Below are 24,198 nucleotides of genomic sequence, written 5' to 3' on the forward strand. Positions count from 1 at the left end.
CAAATCGTACTATGAAGTCTCTTTGCTTCCTATTCTCAACCCCTCCCACTGGCAACCCAGCATTTTTATCAGGTCAAAGTGAATGACAAGGGTTAAAACTTGAAGAGGATGAGAAATCACACAATGCATCCATGTGACCAGAAGGGCTGACGATACTTGGATGGAGGTGTTACCACTTGGTTTGGTGAAGTCTGGGGTTTACATGCTTTGGAGGCATGTGTGAGCCTCAGGCCCTTCCTTCTGAGCAGCAGATGGCAGAGCCACCTCAATGCACTCTGCCAGCTGCCTGGTTCATGTGCCTGGGTGGGATTGTCCTGCTCTACCTTCCACAAGGATGGCTTTGTCTGCCAGAAAGAATAATCACAACTGAAACAAATGTGTAACGATACCTGGATAGATACAGCTCAATTGGCTCCTGACAGGCCTCTGGCTAGGAGGGCCTGAGCAGTTACAGTGGGAAGGTGGATGGTTTAGGACCAGACAGATGGTGGGCAGCTGTCATCCACTGCATCCCAGTCCCCTTCAGTCTCACATCACAAATGACCCTAAGGCTATGTGTGAGCAGATTTGAAAATAAAAAAGGTTCAGTTGATTCCATTTATCACAAGTTTTCTCAAGAACAGGCAGGCAATAAAACTGGTCCCCATTCCCCCAAATAGATTTTGCAATGCTTGAGGTCTCCTCTTAATATATAATGGAGGAGTTGCTAGGGTAGCTGATCTGAGTGTGTGTATGTCTCTGTCTAATAGGTTTTTCTTGCAAAAAGTCTTATAGTTATGGTTTAAGTTCTCATTGCCCAACTGTATACTCTGAGTCACTGTCCTGTCACAGCCATATTTCCGGCTGGCATTGTGTCTGCAACCAAGAGTGTGACTGCAAGAACACAAGGCACTGTGCAAAGATAGATGAGCTGTATGAGTCAGGAGTTCTGCTCTCCAGGTCTGAGGCTGTTCATTGCCTGGGTTTGTCCAGCGGGCCTGAAGCCATGGAGAGCATAATATTTAGAGGTGGCGAACCCGACACCACCCTGCTTGCATTCTTTGCTCCAGGCCTTCTGACCTAGTTGTCCTTTTCCTGTACCCCATGCTTGCTCCCTGAGCCCTACGCTTGCTGTTCTCCAGATTGAGGCTTTCTCCTCTTGCTTCATACTCCCCTCCCTCAGCCCACTATGCACTATGTCAGGCCAACTGGTCTTACTCTGCAGGAGAGTCTGAGATTCACTGTTGCTTCCTGTGGGGAGGCTTTTCTGAGCCCCCAGGCCTGGTGCTGTGTGCTCCCGTGGCAGCCCCTGCTTCTCCTGTACACCACATATTGCCAACTTGCTTCTGACTTTCCCCTACTGAGCTACATTCTCCATGAGGTAGGGAATTATGTGTTTATTTTTCCAGCACAGAGCTTGGTGCACACTGGGTGCTCAGTGGTTGAGCAGATGAATGGACCATCTCGGTGATTCTTTGCTTCCCTCACACTGAGAAGGTCTGGCCAGCTCGTTTCCCTTTCTCCTCTCCCTTGTTTCTTGCTGAATCTTCTGGAGCACCAGTGAAAACACAGTCCTTGCCTGGCTTTCTGTTTTTTTTTTTTTATTCTCTCCCCATTGCTTTAATTAACTTAGAAATTCAGTGGACTCTTAGACAAACAATAGAATTTGATTATCTCTATAGTATACCTGGATGCCACTTCTCTGAAGTCTGTTTGAATGAAGTGATAAAACCTTGTATGTTTTGTTTGTTTTCCAGTTGCCTCCTGGTTATAAAGCAAAGCCAAACTGGAGAGACCAGTGCCAGAGCCTTTATTACTAAAAGGTCAGCATTACTTGCAACTCTCTTTGGTTTGGGGCTCTTTTGTGTCACAGATGTTTTCTTTCCTTTATTTTTTTTTTCAGGATTAAGCATGAGTTTAATTTCTTCTTCTTTTTTTTTTAAATTATACTTTAAGTTCTGGGGTACATGTGCAGAACATGAAGTTTTGTTACATAGGTATACATGTGCCATGGTGGTTTGCTGCACCCATCAACCCGTCATCTACATTAGGTATTTCTCCTAATGCTATCCCTCCCCTATCCCCCATCCCCTGACAGACCCTGGTGTGTGATATTCCCTTCCCTGTGTCTATGCTCTTCTTCCTCAACTCCCACTTATGAGTGAGAACATGTGGTGTTTGGTTTTCTGTTCCTGTGATAGTTCGCTGAGAATGATGGTTTCCAGCTTCATCCATGTCCATGCAAAGGACATGAACTCATCATTTTTTATGGCTGCATAGTATTCCATGGTGCATATGTGCCACATTTTCTCTATCTAGTCTATTATTGATGGATATTTGGGTTGATTCCAAGTCTTTGCTATTGTGAATAGTGGCACAACAAACACACATGTGCATGTGTCTTTACAGTAGAATGATATATAATTCTTTGGGTATATACCCAGTAATGGGATTGCTGGGTCAAATGGTATTTCTAGTTCTAGATCCTTGAGGAATCGCCACACTGTCTTCTACAATGATTGAACTAATTACACTCCCACCAACAGTGTAAAAGCGTTCCTATTTCTCCACATCCTCTCCAGCATCAGTTGTTTCCTGACTTTGTAATGATCGCCATTCTAACTGGCATGAGATGGTATCTCATTGTGGTTTTGATTTGCATTTCTCTAATGACCAGTGATGATGAGCATTTTTTCATATGTTTGTTGGCTGCATAAATGTCTTCTTTTGAGAAGTGCCTGTTTATATCCTTTACCCACTTTTTGATGGGTTTGTTTGTTTTTTTCTTGTAAATTTGTTTAAGTTCTTTGTAGATTCTGGACATTAGCCCTTTGTCAGATGGATAGATTGCAAAAATTTTCTCCCATTCTGTAGGTTGCCTGTTCACTCTGATGATAATTTCTTTTACTGTGCAGAAGCGCTTTAGTTTAATTAGATCCCATTTGTCAATTTTGGCTTTTGTTGCCATTGCTTTCGGTATTTTAGACATGAAGTCTTTGCCCATGCCTGTGTCCTGAGATTTATAGCATTTGGACCAGAAGATACCCCAAGAGCAGGCAGTGAGCAGATCACTATCTTTACTCCTAGTCTGCCTTTTGTATTAGGTTGGTGCAAAAGCAATTGCATTTTTTTGCCATTAAAATTACTTTTGCACCAACCTAAATATAACTTGTGATGATGCAGAGCACCCAAACGAGAGAGTGTGTGATTGTGCAGGCATCCACTGTGCCTCTATTTTTATTTCTTCCAGCTTAGGGGTGTGGCTTCTCTCATCATAGTTTCACAAAAGGATTATTTTCTAGTCAAAAAGATAACCACCCAGGTAGAAATCAAGGTGAGGGGAAAGGACGAAACAGTTGTAGATGTTTATTTTTAGTTCAGTTGGCATAAATGACCCCACTGGGATGTTATAAGATCGAGAACCCGGAGTAGGGGAGCCTTGTTAGTCTTTGACTCTGAACAGACCTAGAGTCTGATCCTGTGGCATTCTTCCACCTAAGAGCAATTATTGGAGTTGAAAGAAAACCACTTAGTTTTACTCAAATTTGTTTTAAAATATTTATAATGAGGCCAGGCACGGTGGCTCAAGCCTGTAATCCCAGCACTTTGGGAGGACAAGGCGGGCGGATCACGAGGTCAGGAGATCAAGACCATCCTGGCCAACATGGTAAAACCCCGTCTTTACTAAAAATACAAAAATTAGCTGGGCATGGTGGCACGTGCCTGTTATCCCAGCTACTCTGGAGGCTGAGGGAGGAGAATTGCTTGAACCAGGGAGTCGGAGGTTGCAGTGAGCCGAGATCACGTCACTGCACTCCAGCCTGGTGACAGAGCAAGACTCTGTCTCAAACAAACAAGCAAACAAACAAAAAAAATTTATAATGAAACAAGACTTAGAAGAAGAATGGGCACCTAATAGATGCCAGCTACTGAGCTGTGTGTTTTACTTAGTCATCACCTCATTTAATTGTTTTGATTAGATATTGAGAATATTCATATAATATATATGTGATGTGTAAGGAATTACAATATTGGCCAGGCATGGTGGTTCATACCTGTAATCCCAGAGCTTCTGAAGGCCAAGGCAGGAGGATTGCTTGAGGCCAGGATTTCAAGACCAGCCTGAGCAACATAGTGAGACCTCATCTCTACAAAAAATAAATAAATTAGTCAGGTGTGGTGCACACCTGCAGTCCCAGCTACTCAGGAGGCTGAGGTGGGAGGATTGCTTGAGCCCAGGGGCTTGGGGCCGTAGTGAACCTTGATCACGTCATTGCATTCCAGCCTGGGTGACAGAGCAAGACCCTGTCTCTAAAATATAAAAAGAATTACAGAAGAGTGAACACCTGTGTTCAGCATTACCTTTGGATGCCCTGTAGAATCTGTCTTCTTCCCTTCTCAGATGTAGCTATTCTCCTGAAGTTTATTGTTCACTTTCTTTTTTTTTTAAGACAGAGTTTTACTCTTGTTGCCCAGGCTGAAGTACAATGGAGCGATCTCGGCTCACTGCAACCTCCGCCTCCCAGGCTCAAGCAATTCTCCTGCCTCAGCCTCCTGAGTAGCTGGGATTACAGGCATGTGCCACCACGCCTGGCTTTGTATTTTTAGTAGAGACGGGGTTTCTCCATGTTGGTCAGGCTGGTCTCGAACTCCCAACCTCAGGTGATCTGCCCGTCTCGGCCTCCCAAAGTGGTGGGATTACAGGCGTGAGCCTCTGCACCTGGCCTTGTTCACTTTTTTTCTAAAATGCTTTTTTACATTTTGCTATATTCCAAAACGACATGTTGTTTAGTTTTGAATGTTGTTGGACTTTAAACAAATGGAATCATACTGTATGAATTTTCTGCAACTTGTGTGTTTTACTCAGACATTTGATCTTGAGTTTCATCCGTGTAGTTGTGTTTCACTGTAATTAATTCCTATAATAAGAATTATATGGCGCTAGAGCATATAAATACACCACAGTGTGGTTTATTCATTCAGATGTGGATGAATGTTTGCATTGTTTCCATTTTTAAAACACGATCTAGACAAGACTTTTTCGATCATTCTTGTATGAGTCCCTTTGTGCACACGTACAGGAGCTCTAGGGTATAATCCTGCATGCGGACCTGCTGGATTACAGGACACATGCATCTTCATTCTTGCTAGATTATTTCTAATTATTTTTCAAGTGGTTGTACCAGTTGACACTCTCACCAGCAGTGTGAGTGTTCTGGTTTTTCCATCATAGCCAACACCTGATTTTGTCAGACTTTCAAACTTTTGCCAGTCTGGTAGGTATGAAATAGTATCTTATTGTGGTTTGTTCTTTTTATCTGATTATGAATGAGGTTGAGAATATTTTCTTTCTTTTTTTTTTAGACAGAGTCTGCTCTGTTGCCCAGGCTGGAGTGCAATGGCGCGATCTCAGCTCACTGCAAACTCAACCTCCCGGGTTCAAGCGATTCTCTTGCCTCAGCCTCCAGAGTAGCTGGGATTACAGGCACCTACCAACATGCTGGGCTAATTTTTGTAGTTTTAGTAGACATGGGGTTTCACCATGTTGGCCAGGCTGGTCTTGAACTCCCAACCTCAGGTGATCCACCTGCCTCAGCCTCACAAAGTGCTGGGATTACAGGCTTGAGCCACTGCACCCGGCAAAGCATATTTTCATATGGATATGGATACTTATGTTTCTTCTACTCTAAAGAGATAAAGTCTTGCCAATATTAATGATTTTTAAAATAATTTCAATTTCTATTTTAGATTCAAGGGGTACGTGTGCAAGTTTGTTCCATGGGTATATTATGCGCTGCTGCAGTTTGGAGTACAATCGATCCTGTCACCCATGTAGTGAGCATAGTACCCAATAGTTAGTTTTTCAATCCTTCCCTCCCCCTCCCACCTCTAGCAGTCTCCAGTGTCTGTTGTTGCCACCTTTGTGTCCACATGTACCCAGTGTTTAGCTCCCACTTATAAGTGAGAACATGCGATATTCGGTTTTCTGTTTCTGCATTAATTTGCTTAGGATAATGGCCTCCAGCTGCATCCATGTTGCCACAAAGGACATGATTTTGTTCTTTTTTATGGCTGCACCTATCTTTTTCTATTAAGATGTCTTTTTCTTATAGACTTATATGACTTCTTTATGTATTTTGATACTACCTCATTTGTATGTTGCAACAAATAGCTTCTCCATTTTTAATTGTTTTTTAAATTCTCTAACAGTTTCTTTTGGTGAACATATGTTCCAATTTTAGCTTAGCCAAACTTATCAAACATTTCCTTTATAGTTTATATTTTTGTATAAACTATTTATACAACAACTTTGTATGCAATCTTTCTTACTGAATGTTATAATCACATTGCCTATATTATCTTCTAAAAGTTTTATAGTTTAGCCTTTCATGTTTAGGCCTACAGTCTATGTGAAACTGATGTTTGTGTTCAATAGGATAGATCCAATAGAAATAGGATCATATTTCTTTTTTTTTTTTTCCTGTGTGAATACTCAGTACTCTCAGCACCGTGAATTTCCACACTGTGAGCAATGGCAGCTTTGTCATAAATGTACATATACATATGGGTCTGTTTCTGGAACCTATTCTATTTCATTGTTCAGTATACCTCTGTGCCTCCACTATCTTAATTCCTAGAGCTTTTTAATAATTCTTGATACTTGATAGGGCAAGGCCTCTTGTCTTATTCTCCTTTGAGTGTGTCTTGGCTATTCTTGGTCCCTTGCACTTCTCTGTAAACTTTGGGTTAACCCATCAAATTTCCCCCAAACCCCTTGTTGTGTTTTCTTCTCATTGCGTTTTGAGGTCTCTCTTTTGAGAGTGGCCCTAATGCAAGATTGTCACTCTTTAGGAGAGGCCTGCCCTGAGGAGAGCTAGGATCAGGTATGTCAGCCAGGTGAGACACGGAGGAGGTGGCACAGCAAAACATATGAAATAACAGAAGCAGTTTTTAATTACTTAAAGATCACAGAGAGAAGAGGGCATCATAAAACCAGCAGGGGCCAGGCGCGGTGGCTCATGCCTGTAATCCCAGCACTTTGGGAGGCTGAGGTGGACGGATCACTTGAGGTCAGGAGTTCAAGACCAGCCTGGCCAACATGATGAAACCCCGTCTCTACTAAAAATACAAAAATTAACCGGGCATGGTGCTGGGCGCCTGTAATCCCAGCTACTCGGGAGGCTGAGGCATGAGAATCGCTTGAACCTAGGAGGCGGAGGTTGCAGTGAGGCGAGATCGCACCACTGCATTCCAGCCTTGGCGACAGAGTGAGACTCCATCTCAAAAACAAACAAAGAAAAAAACCCCAAGCAGGTCCAACAGGAAGAGGGGCACTGACTGGGACCTGCAGGGGCAACCAGAGGGTGGAAAGCAAAAGAGAGAGGGTGAGGGAGGGACCTGAGGGCCAAAGCCTTTTTTGGTGTCCAGGGCATTGCCCAAGCAGGTTTTCCACAGGGAGTTCTAACTGGTGGGTTTAAAGCAAGCAGGCATGAGTTCCATGGGGTCATGCTGTGACTGAGAGGTGGTCACTGCAGCATATCTGCACAGACAATGTAAGACGTGGGGGTTAGTGGGGCAAGTCAAGTAGGTTACCTCTAGTTGTCTTATAGGGAGGTGGTCGCCAGGAGGTGGTTGTATAAGGAAGATATCTGGATTAACCACACTGCAGAACTAGGAGGAGGTGGAGAACTGGAAATTGTGTCAAAGGCAACTAAACTCTACTTCTGGTATGAGGAAGTCCAACTTATATTTAAAACGGATGCCAAGGCAACATAGAATTATAAGAATTCACAGCCCAGTGTGGTGGCTCATGTCTGTAATCCCAGCACTTTGGGAGGCTGAGGAGGGTGAATCACCTGAGGTCAGGAGTTTGAGACCAGCCTAGTCAACATGGTGAAACCCTGTCTCTACTAAAAATACAAAACTTATCTGGGCAAGGTGGCTCACGCCTGTAGTCCCAGCTATTTGGGAGGTTGAGGGATGAGAATCGCTTGAATCTGGGAGGTGGAGGTTTCAGTGAGCTGAGATCATGCTACTGCACTTCAGCCTGGGTGACAGAGTGAAACTCCATCTTAAAAAAAAAAAAAAAAAAAGAATTCACTACACCCCTGATCTAATTGAAACTTTACTACAGCAATCCTGTTGGAGGATTATTGGAGATTGATCCCTTGATGAATTTTAGGATAGGGTTTTTTTTTTTTTTAATATTTCTGCCCCAAAAAATGCTGTTGGGATTTTAATAGCGATTGTATTCAAGCTGTAGATTACTTTGGGTAGTCTTGTCATCTTAACAATGTTAAGTCTGCCAATCCATGAGAAAAGGATGTCTTTTCATTTATTTATATCTTCCAGCAATGTTTCATAGTTTTCAGTGTGCAAGTCTTTTGCTTCCTTGGTTAAATTTATTTCTAAGTTGGTTTCTTGTTGTTGTTGTTGAGACAGGGTCTTGCTCTGTTGCCTAGACTGGAGTGCAACACATTGAATAACCTAGATGAAATGAAAAATTCCTAGAAACACATAATCTACCAAAACTGACTAATACAGAAATGGAAAATTTTACTAGACCTATAATTATTAAGTAGATTGAATCAATAATTAAAATTGTTGACATACAATTATTCATAATACTGCCTTGTAGTCATCTTTATTTCTGTAATATCACTAGTAATGTTCCCAGCATCGTTTTGTATTTTAGTAACTTGAGTCTTTTCTCTCGAATTTTTAGTCAGTCTCATCAAAGATTTGTTAATTTTGTTGATCTTTTCAAAGAACAAACTTATGGTTTTGTTGATTTTCTTTATTGTTTTTCTATTCTCTATTTTCATTATTTTCATTCAATCTTCCTTTTCTCTTAGTTACTACTTCCTCAGGAAGAGAGTATGTAGGAAGTGGGGGCTTAAAACACAAGGTGCAAGGTACAGCCTTTTTTTGGAGATGTATGAAAATGGGTCTGACTAGGCATAGAGGAAAAGCCGAGCTCAGCCGCTGCCTTTGCTGTGGAACTCTAAGCTGGAATTTAGGCAGTGTGCTACTCGGAGATCTTCATAAGGCTGGAAGTTATTGACACTTAGCTTATCAATAGGAGGGAGTCCAAGAAAGGTCCTTTTCTAAGGCAGAATAAGGAAAACTAGAATGAGATTAAGTGGAACTAGGTAATAGTAGTTCAGCAAATTAACCCAGAGTCAGGAATTCAGCAGGGCTTTTTGTGTGAAAATATAACACCCCATATCAGAACTCAAGCATGAGAAACTAATTCTTGGGGAGCTTTTTTCCATGTTTGTCTTTTTTCCATGTTTCCTTTGTGAAGGGAGTAGTCTCCCTACCTTTTCCCAGGGTAGGAAATGTGTGATAAAAAGGTAAAGGAGAGGTAGCTACAAGTGAGTTCTTATTAACTAGGAAGGTAATTCACTTGCACGTAGATGCTTTGTAGTTCCTTCCATCTTTTTTTGTAAATGGTATTTCCCTTTTTCATATGTTCTTTTAAAAAAAAGCATTATATATTTATAGAGAAAGGGTCTCACAGTGTTGCCCAGGCTAGTCTTGAACTCCTGGGCTCAAGGATCCTCCCACCTCAGCCTCCCAAGGTGTTGGGATTACACATATGAGTCCATTTTTTATATGTTCTAATTAGAAAATATATAGTTTATTTTTGACATTTTAATAGTATATTTATACATAAAATGCATGTAGACTAGACTATATGCTACTTCAGTCTCTCTACCTATCCATAGTTGGGAAAATCAGGTGGGTCCCTATGGCCATAATAAAAGGACCCACTGCTTCACGTCAGGTACCTACTAGAAAATAAGCAACCTCCCACTTACCGGCTTTGCAAATCCAAATCTATTAAGTGGCTCCACTGTCACAGTAAGTATTTCATTGTTGATTAGACCAGGCATTCTTAAAGACATAACTATTTTAATATTATTAAGTTGCTTAAAGAGTCACTGAGGTACATGGTTCTGGGTGGGGGTCTGGAGAGTGCAGCAGCCATGGCCAGCCACATTGTGCTCAACAATGGCACCAAGATGCCCATCCTGGGGCTAGGCACCTGGAATTCCCCTCCAGGCCAGGTAACTGAGGCTGTGAAGGTGGCCATTAATGTTGGGTACTGCCACATCGACTGTGCCCACGTGTACCAGAATGAGAATGACGTGGGGGTGGCCATTCGGGAGAAGCTCAGGGAGCAGGTGGTGAAGTGTGAGGAGCTCTTCATCACCAGCAAGCTGTGGTGAGCGTACCATGAGAAGGGCCTGGTGAAAGGAGCCTGCCAGAAGATGCTCATTGACCTGAAGCTGGACTACCTGGACCTCTACCTTATTCGCTGGCCAACCAGCTTCAAGCCTGGGAAGGAATTTTTCCCATTGGATGAGCCAGGTAATGGTAATGTGGTTCCCAGTAACAGTAACATTCTGGACACATGGGCGGGCATGGAAGAGCTGGTGGATGAAGGGCTGGTGAAAGCTATTGGCATCTCCAACTTCAACCATCTCCAGGTTGAGAGGATCTTAAACAAACCTGACTTAAAGTATAAGTAGGTGGTTAATCAGATTGAGTGCCACCCGTACCTCACTCAGGAGAAGTTAATCCAGTACTGCCAGTCCAAAGGCATCATGGTGACTGCCTACAGCTCCTTCAGCTCCCCCGACAGGCCCTGGGCCAAGCCTGAGGACCCTTCCCTCCTGGAAGATCCCAGGATCAAGGCGATCACAGCCAAACACAATAAAACTACAGCCCAGGTTCTGATCTGGTTCCCCATGCAGAGGAACTTGGTGGTGATCCCCAAGTCTGTGACACCAGAATGCATTGCTGAGAACTTTAAGGTCTTCAACTTTGAACTGAACAGCCAGGATATGACCACCTTATTCAGTTACAACAGAACTGGAGGGTCTGTGCCTTGGTGAGCTGTGCCTCCCACAAGGATTACCCCTTCCATGAAGAGTTTTGAAGCTGTGGATGCCTGCTTGTCCCCAAGTGACCTATACCGTGTTTTCTGTCTCATTTTTTTTTTTCCTTGCAAAGGTAGTATGGCCTGTGTCACTCAGCAGTGGGAGAGCAACCTATAGAGTGGCCAGCGAGGGTGTGTCTAGCTTGATGTTGGATCTGAAGAGCCCTGTCAATAGAGTAGCTTTGCTTTGCCCTTCTTTTTGCCCAGCTGGGGAAAGTACAACCTGAATACCCTTTTCTGACCAAAGAGAAGCAAAATCTACCAGGTCAAAATAGTGCCACTAACAGCTGAGTTTTGACTGCTTGGAAATGTCATCCTTTCAGCAAGACTTCTCTTTACCTCAAATAAATGTGCTTTTTGTGGAAAAAAAAAAACTCACTGAAGAAAAATTACGAAGATCTATAAATATGTAGCAAAGTAGAATAGCCTTTGTACTAATTTCAAATCATGTCTCTATCACTTACCAACTGGGCAACTTTGAGTAGTGTATATATCTTCACTGCTTTTCTCAGGTCATGTTTGGGTGCAACAATTAGATACTTACTCAAGCTAGTACATATAAAAGGGAACTTTATTAAAAAGATATGGATCTTACAGCATCCAAAGAGCAGATGAACAACTGCATCCATTCTTGGTAACATTTATGGGAAACTGAGACTTAGGTAAGTTAAGTCTCTTAACTACTAAACCTTATGGGAGAGGAAATCCATAAATGTACTGAGAACTGCTTAGGAATGAATCAATTATGTGTTTTGTACTTACATGAATCTACTATTTTTCTAATGTATGTAAATGCTACTCTGAGTAGACAAGTTCAAGTATATTTTAAAGTGTGGCTTTTATCATGTTCTTTCTCAGCCAAGAGACAGTCAATATACATGGGAGTATCCATAAACTTTTTACTTTAAAAATAGTTCCTTTTAAAAAAAGTTATATATGTACATAGTTTAAAGAGTCAAATAGTAAAAGCGAAGAGCTTGATGGGAGTCCCCCTTCCATTCCCAACTTTGCCCTCTATTTCCTGCCCTTCAGAAATACTTATAATTTTTTGGAATTTACCTACATATCTCTAAATAACATGCTTGTCTTGCTCTTTCTTGACTTTTTTGGTAGTAGGAATAATCTACTTATTTCCCACTAAGGAAGAGAGGGATTTAGTTTTCTTTATACATTTCACTTTCACATGTGGTTAGTTAACATTCAGTGTTTGCATTCTTATGACCTATGTAAATGCTATTCACAACTGAGCCGTGTAGTATACTATGATTATTATTTCTTTCCTGTAAAGCCTTTTGTTTTTTTCTGAAGGTAATATTTGCCTTTTCTAGAGCCCACATAGTGAAAGCAAGAGTAAGTAAGCAAGCAAACAAACAAACCCACAAAACTCAAAAACAAATCTAGAGACATCACACATTACCTGACTTCAAACTATACTACAAAACTATTGTTACTGAAACAACATGGTACTGGCATAAAAGTGGGTGTGTAGACCTATGGAACAGAAAAGAGAACCCAGAAATAAAGCCAAATACAGCCAACTGATCTTCAGCAAAGCAAACAAAAACATAAAGTGGGACAAAGGACACCCTAACAAATGGTGCTGGGATAATTGGCAAGCCACATGTAGAAGAATGAAGCTGGCTCCTCATCTCTTACCTTATATAAAAATCAACTTAAGATGGATAAAGACTTAAATCTAATACCTGAAGTCACAAAAATTCTATATGACAATATTGGAAAAACTCTTCTAGACATTGGCTTAGGCAAGGACTTCATGAACCCAAAAGCAAATGCAATGAAAACAAAGATAAATAGATGGGACCTAATTAAACGAGAAAGCTACTGCACAGCAAAAGAAATAATCAACAGAGTAAACAGACAACTCAGAGAATGGGAGAAAATATTCACAAACTGTGCATCTGAGAAAGGACTAATATCCAGAATCTACAAGGAACTCAAACAAATCAGCAAGAAAAAAACCAAATAATCCCATCAAAAAGTGGGCAAAGAACATGAATAGACAATTCTCAACAAATATATATATACTAATGCCCAACACGAAAAAATGCTCAACAACTGTAATTATCAGGGAAATGCAAATCAAAATCACAATGTGACACCAACTTACTCCTGCATTTGAATGGCCATGATTTAAAAATAAAAAAAAAATAACAGATATTGGCATGGATGTGGTGAAAGGAGAACACTTTTATACTGCTGGTGAGAATGTAAACTAGTACAACCACTATGGAAAACAGTATAGAGATTTTTTAAAGAACTGAAAGTATTGTAGAACTATTGTTTGATCCAGCAATCCCACTACTGGGTATCTACCCAGAGGAAAATAAGTCATTATATGAAAAAGACACTTGCACATGCAGGTTTATAGCAGCATAATTCACAATTGTAAAAATATGGAACCAGCCTAAATGCCCATCAACCAACAAATGGATAAAGAAAATGTGGTGTATACATATACCATGAAATACTATTTAGCCATAAAAAGGAACAAAATAATGGCATTCAAAACAATCTGGATGGAGTTGGAGACCATTATTCTAAGTGAAGTAACTCAGGAATGGAAAACCAAACATCCTATGTTCTCACTTATGAGCAGGAGCTTGCAGGGAAGGGTGGGAGGGAGGCAAAGGATAAAAAACTGCATATTGGGTACAGTGTACACTGCTCGGATGAAGGGTGGACCAAAATCTCAGAAATCACTACTAAAGAACTTTTCCATGCACCCAGACACCACCTCTTCCCCCAAAACTATTGAAATAAAAATTAAAAAAATAAAAACAACAATGACGACAACAAAAAGCTATTCCAACTGGTAAAATAAAAAGTTAAACATTCGCCTTTTCTGTTTGGTAGTTAGTTTTCTTTGTACTTACTACTAATTTATTTCCCTAACTTGCTCCCAAGATATAAATCTGCCTTCAGTACTTAAACACATTAGGTATTTCCAACAATTTCATCTTCTTGATGATTCCAGAACCTTCTGACTTGCTCCAGGCTGGGCTACTTATGCTCTATGCCTACTGCACAGCTGCCATCTTAAGGGTTTCCTTCACCATTATCCTAGAAATTCCCTTTGCCTTCCTTGTTTTTGATCCCCTGTATTCCGTATCCATTGTCTTTCTCTTTCTTAGTGAGTCTCTCATTTTGGTGACTGGTACTATTATTTGGTGTAGGTACTAGTACCTAGTATCTCCCTGATAAAGGTTGCATGAGAAGTGTTTTGAGATCTTATATACCTAAAAATGTCTTTATTCTGCCTACACACTCAATTACAGTTTGACTCTACAAAATTTTGGATTAGAAAACACTTTCTCTGCCTCATTATCTTCTAATTTCCAGTGTTGCTGCTAATTCAATGTCTTTCTGATTCTTTATACTTTTGTTGAAACTCCCTTCTCCGTCTTTCTCCTCTTTCTGAAAGCTTGTAGGATTTTCTCTTTGGTTGTCTAAAGTTTCACAGAGTATTTTTGTGTTTTCATCTGTTGTGCTGAGAGTTCAGAGGGCCCTTTCAATCTGGAAACTCATGTTTTCCATCCAGGGATATCTCAATTATTTCTTTGTCGATGTCTTGTTTTTCATGTAGAGAGTAGAGAACAACTCTATTGAAATTTTTTGTTCAGATGTTGGACCTCCTGAACTGATCATGTTTCTTTTTTCTTTTTTTTTTTTTCTTTCTGTTTTCTCTCTCTGCCTTTGGCTCTATTTCTGAGTGATTTCTTCCATTTTAACATCTTGCCCTTGAGATATTCATCTTGTCATCTTTTTTAATTTCTAAGAACGCCATTTTTGAGGTTCCTTTTTGTCTTTTCATAAGCTCTGTTTCCTCCAAGTTGTTGTTTTCTGTTTATTTATTTTGGCCTCTGTCTTTCATTGTAAAGGTTTTCCTCAAATGCCGCAATGAGTCTCAGCCCATTGTATTTGAGTGGTGTCTCCATAGAGTCCATTGGAAACTCTGAGCATGTTGGGTGTGACTTGTCAAATGTGGGTTTTACTAGGCTGGTCTGGCTGAAGAACTTCTTTGACAAATCTCTTTATGTCAGTATCTCTAGGTCATTTGTATTGGGATCTGATTCTGCAAGGAAGGCTCCTCCAGTGTTCCATCTAGATGGTAAAAGTCTGGCTGACAATGTCTAGGGACTGAGTGTACTATGGTTTAGATATTTGACCCCTGCAAACCTCATGCTGAAATTTGATCACCAGTGCTGGAGGTGGAGTCTAATGGGAGATGTTTGGGTCATGAGGGTGGATTCCTCAGGAAGGGATTGGTGTCGTCCTCATGGTAATGAGTGAGTTCTTGCTCTGTTAGTTCCTGAGAGAGCTGGTTGTTAAAAAGAGCCTGGAACTTTCCCCCCCTCTCTCTTTCTTCCTCTCTGGCCACATGAGCTTTGCACAGACCAGCTCCTGTTTGCCATTTGCCATGATTGGAGACAGCCTGAGGCTCTCACCAGATGCCCAGTGTTCCAGTCAGCAGAATTGTGTGTTAAATAAGCCTTTTCTTTTCTTTATACCCAGCCTTAGGTATTCCTTTCTAGCAACACAAACGGACAAAGACAGAGTGAACATAAGCCTGGGGTGGATGTTGGTGGGGAGTGTCTCGAAATCAGTCTGTAAATCTTCAACAGATTCCTTGCTCATGTTTTTAATATGTTATCCCTACCCTCAGCTGTGCCTAGAATCCTGACATTTTACCCCAATAAGAGAGTAAACATCTAGTCTTCAGCCAAGTGCTGAGGGAATGACGGGCTGGGGAGTATCTAACTATATCTTAAATAGACTTTGAGTCAGACCCCTTATATTTGGCCCCCACTTTCATCCATACTCCCAAAGGTACCTGGGCTGGTTTAGGATTCAGCCTTCTAAGTCAGTGATCAGCCACTCATCCATCTGCTTTCCAGTTTCCGTTACCATTGTAAACCAAAAAGTATCTGACACAAGCCTCCACCAATGTAGAGGTTTATTTTGCCAAGGTTGAAGACATGCCTGGGAAAAGGAGACATAAGCCACCGTAGGATCTGTAGCCTGTGCTTTTTCTGAAGAGGATTTCAAGGGCTTCAATATTTAAAGCGGAAAAGTGGGCAAAAGGGGAAAGGGCAAAGCGAAAAAAGGAGGTCGCATTCTTCTGAATCCACATGTTACACATGAAAAGGAGGGGTAGGCCAGTAATCCCAGCACTTTTGGGAGCCCAAGGTGGGTGGATCATGAGGTCAGGAGATCGAGACCATCCTGGCTAACATGGTGAAACCTTGTCTCTACTAAAAATACAAAAATTAGCCAGGCATGGTGGTGCATGCCTATAATCCCAGCTACTTGGGAGACTGAGGCAGGAGAATCGCTTGAACCAGGGAGTCGGAGGTTGCAGTGGCCACAGCCTGATGACAGAGCGAGACTCTGTCTCAAAAAAAAAAAAGAAAAGGAGGGGTAGAGGGAACAGTTAATTATGTATTCACCTTGTGTTTAATGAATCTGCACTTTACATAAGATAAACACAGAGTAGAGAAAGCAGTCAAATATGCATTCATCTTGGGGTAGATGAGGACAATTCTAGTCTCCTCTTTTCCCATACCATGAGGATAGGCTGTTAATTTACATTGTCAGGGTGAGGGAGGCCCCCAGTGGAAACATATGGCCTCTATCTGTGGCTCTCAGTTTAGGAACAAAAGAAAATGCAATTGTTTTCTTTGTTTTTTTGTAACTTGGCTTCCAAGCTTAATTTTTCCCTGTTGGCATAGTGAATTTGGGGTCCTGAAATTTTATTTTCCTTTCATACCATGTTGCTTTTGTCTTTGTCCTTTTCACTTTGTTCTGGGGATTTAGGCTTTACCCAAGTCTTTTTCCGGTTTTGATGGTTTTTTTGGAGAGATTGGAGGCTGAGTGTGTTTAGTCTTCCATCTTTAACCAGAACCCTGACATTTCTTGAAGTAAAAAAGGCATCATTACAGGGAAAAGACCGGAAATCATTGCTTAGTGATTCCTAATCAGTTCTCTTACTTTCTTCTACCCTTTTGAAAACCTTTTCCTTTCCTGTTTCTTTTTCACAGGTTTCTACTATGTCTTGATTAATCTGATTGTGTGTATTGACTAATTGAGTGGTACAAATAATAATCAGACACATGACAAATTTCTCCTTGCTCTTGAGAATACAATAAGAAGAGCCCAAAGCGTGTTGGATACCTCCTCACTGGCTCCCTTTAAGAGAAGTAAATTGTGCTTCTTTTGAAAACAGTGCTATTGCATATAGTTGGCATCATGAGAGAAAAAAAGAATTGTCATTCTTATGAGCCCATTATTTTGTTATTGATTGGTTGGCTTTTTAAAGGTGACAGGAATCATTTTTCTTTTCTCGGAAGATGATTTAAGGTCAAATTTAGCTCATCTCCTTTGCCAAGGATCTTTGGGGATAACATTTAAGTCACTTATAAACCTAGACTTTGAGAGACAGACTCTTCATACCTAAATTACAGGGGGATAAGGAGGACTGTGGGAAGCCTGGAGAGCAGGTAGCTGCAGCTGCACATCCTGGATGCCTTTTCACATCTCTGGAATCAGACTGAGTGTGCGTGAGGTTGTAACATTAAACATTTATCTGTACAGGTGATGGGGGTGGACATGCACAAAATAGGGAAAGAATCATGATAACAAAAATTGGACAGAGGGGGTGTGGGGAGGGCTGTGGAAGCTGGTTCCTCTTCCTGACAACCTTTGCCTTTTCTTTCATAATATTTACATACAATTCAGCTGTTTGGCTTTGACATGCTGAGGGCCTGGGGTTCCCTTCATCCTTTCTTTGTGCCTCCTCCAGCTGTTCCTGGGTTTATTTATTTCTTTTAACTGCTATTTATAGTCCATAGGTAGCCACAGATGGCCAGTTCTTAAAGTGTGTTGGTGTGTGAACAGAATTTTAGAGGTAAACATTTTCTTATTATGTGCAGAGACAGATGTGGCTGGGCTTTTCTTTTGTAGGGTTTGTCCATGACAAGTATGTTACATAAAGATAGAAAAGAACAGAGCACGGTTTTTTTTTTCCTCCCTAATGTAGCTACCAGTTAATTTTTAATCTAAAATAATGGTGATGGATTTTGAAGTGCCTGGGGCGGTAGCCTGTGTGCAATACACCTGGATCAATCACCGCAGAACTTCCTTCTTACGTGTACATGTAATGAAATGGAAGACACTTTATTCACCCAAATTCTTCTTGGAGAGAAGGAGTATGAGTTTGGAAGAAATATTTTGAGAAGCCTGTTGAAATCAGCGTGGGGGACTCCAAGTGGCATATTCAGGAATCAGAAGGTGTTCCAAATGCCTTCTAAAGAGGCTGAGACCTGCCATATGGAGGACTTTGTTTTTCTCAATACTAAGATGGTCAGGTCTATAAGTTCGGAGGTTTGGAGCTGCCATGTATCTAAATTGCTCTTAATAATAGAGGGGAAAAAGAATTTGCCTTTGTTGATTCACTTATCTGTTCATTATTTCAGACATCTTTGTTGAGTCCTTTCTCTCCATGGTACTCGGCCACATTGCCTGAGTGGATGTGTTGCTGGGGCACACAGCATGTGCTGGGAGTTTACAGAAGCTTCAGAATATACATGGGCCATCTTCCTGGGGCATTAGTGGACTCCATAAGTGGATTATGGAGATGCAACATTCATCTCCATTTGTAAAAACATTACATTTTAAAGAAGTTATTCTGGGTCCACTTGAGTCTGTGCTCTTAGATATTTCCTCCTCTTTCATAGTATGTACTTACTGTCCCCAGGCACATGCAAAGTGCTGTAAGATTTCACAGGATGGAGAGAACATCTGTGGCAGTGGACAGAGTCGTGAGTGACCACAGAAGGCTTTCTGGAGGCAGGACTTGAGGTGAGTTTCAAAGGACTAGGGGTGTGTATTAGGGAGCAATTGGTGAATGTGTGTTTGGGAGAGGGCCATGCCGGGTGAGGGAATGTCATGAATCCCAGCTCAATGGTGGAAATGTCAACCAGAGTGGACCAGTTTGGCCACACTATGTGAGAGTGAGGGATAAAATCTGAGTTGCATATGGGGATCAGCAGGTAAGAGACACCCATCAACTCTCCCGTTCATTATTAGAAATTTCTGATGATTTTGGACATCATCAAATAGATAGTTTAGGGAAGATAACAAGAGGATGGTAAGCTATGGTGGAGGGTGAGTTTAGACACCAAGTTGTTTGGTTTAGTGATTCCTAATCAGAGATGCACTTCAGACTTACCTGCAGAACATTTTAAACTAACAATGCTGGGGCTCCTACCATTGGAGACTCTGATTCAGTAGGTCTGTTGTAGAGCCTATGGAGTCTGTATGTGGAAGAGTTCTTCAGCCAATTTTGTTATATTCCCTGGCTAAAAATCCATGAAATAGAAGGTGATTGTAATGGCCTACTTTTAATGTAATGGAACTTGGATTTCTGGTGGTGGCAAAGGAAATGGATAAGAAGGGTTGAATTTGAAACACTTTGTAATACAAGAATAAGCAAGACATGAATTGATATTAGACCAGTCGCTGCTCCAATGTATGTGATGTTCTGGACCATACCCCACTTCCTGTCGTATTTTCCACATTAGCATAGCTAAGTTCTGCAACTCACTCACCACTGCATTAGCCTCACTTATAGCCCTTTCTTTGGAAATAATTTCACTGACAGCATAGTTCTTTGAGAACTTAGCGGACAACTTTTAAAAAGGATATTTTTGCACATCATTATTGCTGACACTATTATTATTCATGTTTTAAAAGCTATTTTATTATAAATCTCAGCTTGAGTTTTGTTCAATTCTGCTCTTTAAAAGAAAGTTACAATACACAGAACAAAGGCATTAGAAAAAAGAAATTTTCAAGTTTCTATTGCATAGAGAAGTATACAGTCCCCATAAACATTCCAGGTCTAATTTGTCCTTGAACATCCTTAGAATAACGGTAGACTTAAAGACAATATTATGCCTGGCAGTATTTAGGACAGCAAGGCACTTCTTGATTTTGGACAAACAGGATTTAAGTTTTGTTTGGGGGCTAGAAAAATAAATAACCAGTTCTATCACAAACCCTTTATGCCGGAGTAGACAATATTTCACTAAAAGACAGAGAAAAAGTGCTGATGTAAATCCTTCCTTTTTGGGAAGCTGATTCTTTTTGTCATGGAAGAAAGACTGGTAAAAATATTCACATTTGCAGTCATCAGGATGGCAAAACTTGAATTTGATGCAGAAATGCATTTATCATTTGATATATTTTTTCTGGCTGCATGATTCAGCATTTTGATTTGCATTGACCATTTTGGAAAAATGAAGCATTTCTTGGTTGTGAAATAATTTGTAATTTGTTTCTTTGGAATATTCCAGTTTGTGGCCTAGTTGACTATGTAGTGTTTTCCCCAGACTTAGTGTAAGATAAGAAAATGAGAATCTCAGCAATGCCTAATGGGTTGGCCCAGCATTAAGTCTATGAGGATAGGACCAAGGGACATCTTTAGGAATGGGAACGACACAGCTACATCTGCTGACATCAGCTTCTAAAGAACCCCTCAAACGTGCTGACTTACTCAATAATCTGTTAGAGACCAATAAAGCATGAATTCATGTGAAAAACTCTTGAAGAGCATTCAGTTTTCAGCCTGCATCACCTCTCTCCATTTCCCTCGCATTGAGACCCCAGCTCTGTAGCACATCACTCAAGTCCTTCAGGGTTTGCTGCAACTTACTTTTCCTTACCATTCCTGAGATGTCATTCTTGTTCATGCCTCCAAGCCTTTGCACTTGCCCTTTGTTCATAATGCCTTCCTTGCCCGTTTCCCTAGATCGAATCCTACTCGCTTATTTTTCCAGGCCTGTCTTAACGTCTCAATGTCTCCTCTACCGCAAAGCCTTCCAGACCCCGCAATCACTCAACATACGTAATGAGCATCTGCCATATGCCAGGCACTGTGCTGATGTTGTGACTAAAGATGCGTAGGACATAGTCTCTTCAAGGGACCACATGTGTGCTTCCAGAGCCATATCCTACACGTGCCCAGTAATATACTGGTGATATTAAACCAAAGCACAGTTCTTTTATTCTTTTTTTTTTTTTATTTTTGAGACAGGGCCCTGCTCCATTGCCCAGGCTGGATTGCAGTGATGAAATCATGGGTCACTGCAGTCTTGAACTCTTGGGCTCAAGCGGTCCTCCTGCCTCAACCTCCCAAGTAGCCAGGACTACAGACACATCACCACACCTGGATAATTTAAAAACTTTTTTTTTTTTGTAGAGATGGGGGTCTCACTATGTTGCCCAGGCTGGTTTTGAACTCCTGGGCTCAAGTGATCCTCCCACTTTGGCCTTTCAAAGTGCTGAGATTACAAACCTAAATGAGCCACCGCACCTAGCCCATTCATTCTTAAAAGTCTCCAGTTCCTGCACATACACATGAATCAATGGCTCAAAGGAGGATGTAGATAGCACAGGGGTCGTGGTTTAGCTTTAAACTCCAAACTAGATTAGATTTTTAAAAATCCATAAGCAGCATTAGTCTTGAAAGCCATACTTCGTTGAAAGAGAAAAGGGCTTTCTAGAGACACACATTTTCCCCTACATGGCAAGAGCCATGAATGAAGAGAGAACTCAGGACATCATGGAGGAAAAAGGAAAGACTTCCTTCCCCTAGTACTGCAGAAATGAATGGGACTGAGAGGGAAGTTTTCATGTGAATGATCTGGTTCTCCCCATGGGATCTGAACCTTGAAAAGGGACCTGGTAACAACCAGATGATCTGGGGACTTTGGGAACTTTAGGGCTATGTATTAGCCCGTTTTCATGCTGCTGTTAAAGAGATACCCGAGACTGGGCAATTTACAAAAGAAAGAGTTTTAATAGACTCACAGTTCCATGTGGCTGGGGAGGCCTCACAGTCATGGTAGAAGGTGAAAGGCATGTCTCACGTGGTGGCAGACAAGAGAAGAAAGCTTGTCAAGAGAAACTCCCCTTTTTAAAACCATCAGATCACATGAGACTTATTCACTATCATGAGAACAGCATGGGAAAGACCTGCCCCCGTGATTCAATTACCTCCTACTGGGTCCCTCCCACAACATGTGGGAATTCAAGATGAGATTTGGGTGGGGACACAGCCAAACCATATCAGGCCAGTACTTTGCTTCCCTGGGAGACTTCGAGCCTTAGAGAAAGTCTGGATTTGGCAGGACCGTTGTCTCAGCATGATGTGTATAGCGGGTTGAACAGTGTCCCCCAAGTTTGTGTTCACCCAGAACCTCAGAATGTAACCTTATTTGGAAATAGGGTCTTTGCAGATGTAATTAGTTAAGAATCTTGAGATAAAATCATCCTGGATTCAGGGTAGGCCCTAAATCCAATGACTGGTGTCCTTATAAGAAGAGGAGAGGACACCCAGAGACACAGAAAAGAAGGCCATGGGAAGATGGAGGCAGAGATTGGAGTGATGCTGCCACAGGCCGAGGAAACTGGAGAGCTGCTAGACATTGGAAGAGTTGAGGAAAGATTCTCTTCTAAAGACTGGCAGGGGAGCATGGCCCTGCTGACACCTTGATTTTAGACTTCCATCCTTCAGAACAGTGGGAAGGAGAATAAAGTTCTGTTGTTTGGAGCCACCCAGTTAGTGGTAATTTGTTGCAACAGCCCTAGAAAGTGAAAATTGTGTGGAAGCAGCAGGACAGTGCTGGAGCTTTGGGTCATGTGCCTGGTTGCCTATACCCACGTGTTCTGCCTGTGGGATTCACAATTTACACAGGCCTGAGTGAGAATGCAGGTGCGCTGAAGGAGCAGGCAATAGTGAAGAGTCAAGGTTTGGGAGGGGAACCAGAGACCCCAGACTTCAGAACTGCAGCTTTTGGGGTCAACACAACATCCCAGAACATCAAGACACCAAGACATATCAGCTAGGACCCTGCAGTAGGACATCGGTGTCCAGATGAGACCAGAAGCAACCCAGTAGAAGCCAGGGGACAGTGTGTGGACCACAGAATTCATGCTTGATGCCATCAAGGTAGGAAGTTTCTGCCTGCACAGAGATACCCTCTTGGGAAGGAAGCGGGTGTCTGGCCAGAGCTCCTTTGGGAAGGGAAGGCACACCTGATAGAGAATTTGACCTTGGAAAATGAGTGCATGTTTACCTGAAAGAGGTATTTCTAACCTAGAAGAGCCTGGGCTACTTTTTATTGAAAAATTTAAGATCTGTGTGGTGTGCGTATATGTGTATGTTGTCATTAAGGATTGATCACAGGCCGGGCATAGTGGCTTACACCTGTCATCCCAGCACTTTGGGAGGCCAAGGTGGGAGGATCCCTTGAGCCCAGGAGTTTGAGACCAGCCTGGGTAACATAGGGAGACCCCATCTCTACACAAAAGTTTTAAAAAAATAGCGGGGCATGGTGGTGTGTGCCAGCAGTCCCAGCTACTCAGGAGGCCAAGGTGGGAGGATTGCTTGAGCCAGGAGGTCAAGGCCTTAGTGAGCTGTGATTGCACCATTGTACTTCAGCCTGGGTGACAGAGTGAGACCCTGTTTCCATTAAAAAAAAAAACAAAACAAAACCTAAAAACTAACAAATAATTAATTACAAGATGAGACCAGTTATGGAAATGCATTTCTAGTTTTTGCCTATTTTAGTTACAGTATCTAAATGTCAACTCCCATCTCACCCCATTCCTAGATATTTGCTGTATTCTATTGTGTTTCCCACCCACCCCCATGTTCGTTCCCTCCCTTGAGCTGTCAGCCTCTTGTGGGTAGAGATGACATCAACTATCTTTTGACATATATTTGGATATCTGTGCCTGCAAGACCTAATAGGACAATTCTAACACACGGTGTCATCTCACTGAATATTTGTTGAATGAATGAAAAAATTCAGAATGTATGAATAATTTTTAAAATTTTTCCTCAATAGCTTTCTTGTATATTTTAAAGGCTGTCTGGATTTTCTTAGGGCCTTTGCCTCAGACATGCATACGGCAGGAGTGTGAGATCTATGGAGTGGGCTCAGCTCATGGAGCAAGGAGGACGGCAGGGGCTCCAATGATGATGTCTGCGTAAGAATTCCCATTTAAGATCTTTCCAAGCACAAGAGTCATGGCCCAATGGCAGAGTGTCCTATGCCCACGAATAAATCAAGGATGAAGAAGACATTTTTGGAACCAGCATAGTTTCTGGTAGGATCTTTGCCACTACTTAAAAAAAAAAAACAAGCATTTAAACTCCCATAGTGTAAATTAATTCAGATGTAAAT

The 24,198-nt window shown here is 41.6% G+C and overlaps 1 protein-coding gene and 1 pseudogene across 13 annotated transcripts in view, besides 1 other annotated feature; both read left to right on the forward strand.

The window, feature by feature from the left end:
- CNIH3 (cornichon family AMPA receptor auxiliary protein 3) overlaps window positions 1-24,198 on the forward strand; it is a 305,915-nt gene that overhangs the window by 129,823 nt on the left and 151,894 nt on the right. For 6 of the 13 annotated variants that reach the window (NR_136289.1, NR_136288.1, NR_136293.2 and 3 more), the window contains one exon: window positions 1,737-1,802. The exons of 6 other annotated variants lie outside the window; for them this stretch is intronic. The gene's annotated coding sequence lies outside the window, so the exon portion shown is untranslated. Of the gene's footprint in view, window positions 1-1,736; window positions 1,803-18,701; window positions 18,806-24,198 lie in introns of all 13 variants that reach the window. One more of the 13 variants, NR_136294.2, reaches the window with a different exon arrangement.
- Window positions 7,301-7,800: an enhancer, noted in NCBI's record as "H3K27ac hESC enhancer chr1:224759465-224759964 (GRCh37/hg19 assembly coordinates)". NCBI's record gives its function as "activates a minimal SCP1, AML or CMV promoter by ChIP-STARR-seq in naive H9 embryonic stem cells {active_cell/tissue: H9 hESC(naive)}" and the evidence as "EXISTENCE:reporter gene assay evidence [ECO:0000049][PMID:30033119]".
- On the forward strand, window positions 9,939-11,126 carry AKR1B1P1 (aldehyde reductase family 1 member B1 pseudogene 1; annotated as a pseudogene).

This window comes from Homo sapiens, chromosome 1 (genome assembly GCF_000001405.40).
Source record: "Homo sapiens chromosome 1, GRCh38.p14 Primary Assembly".
In the NCBI taxonomy this organism is placed as follows: domain Eukaryota; kingdom Metazoa; phylum Chordata; class Mammalia; order Primates; family Hominidae; genus Homo; species Homo sapiens.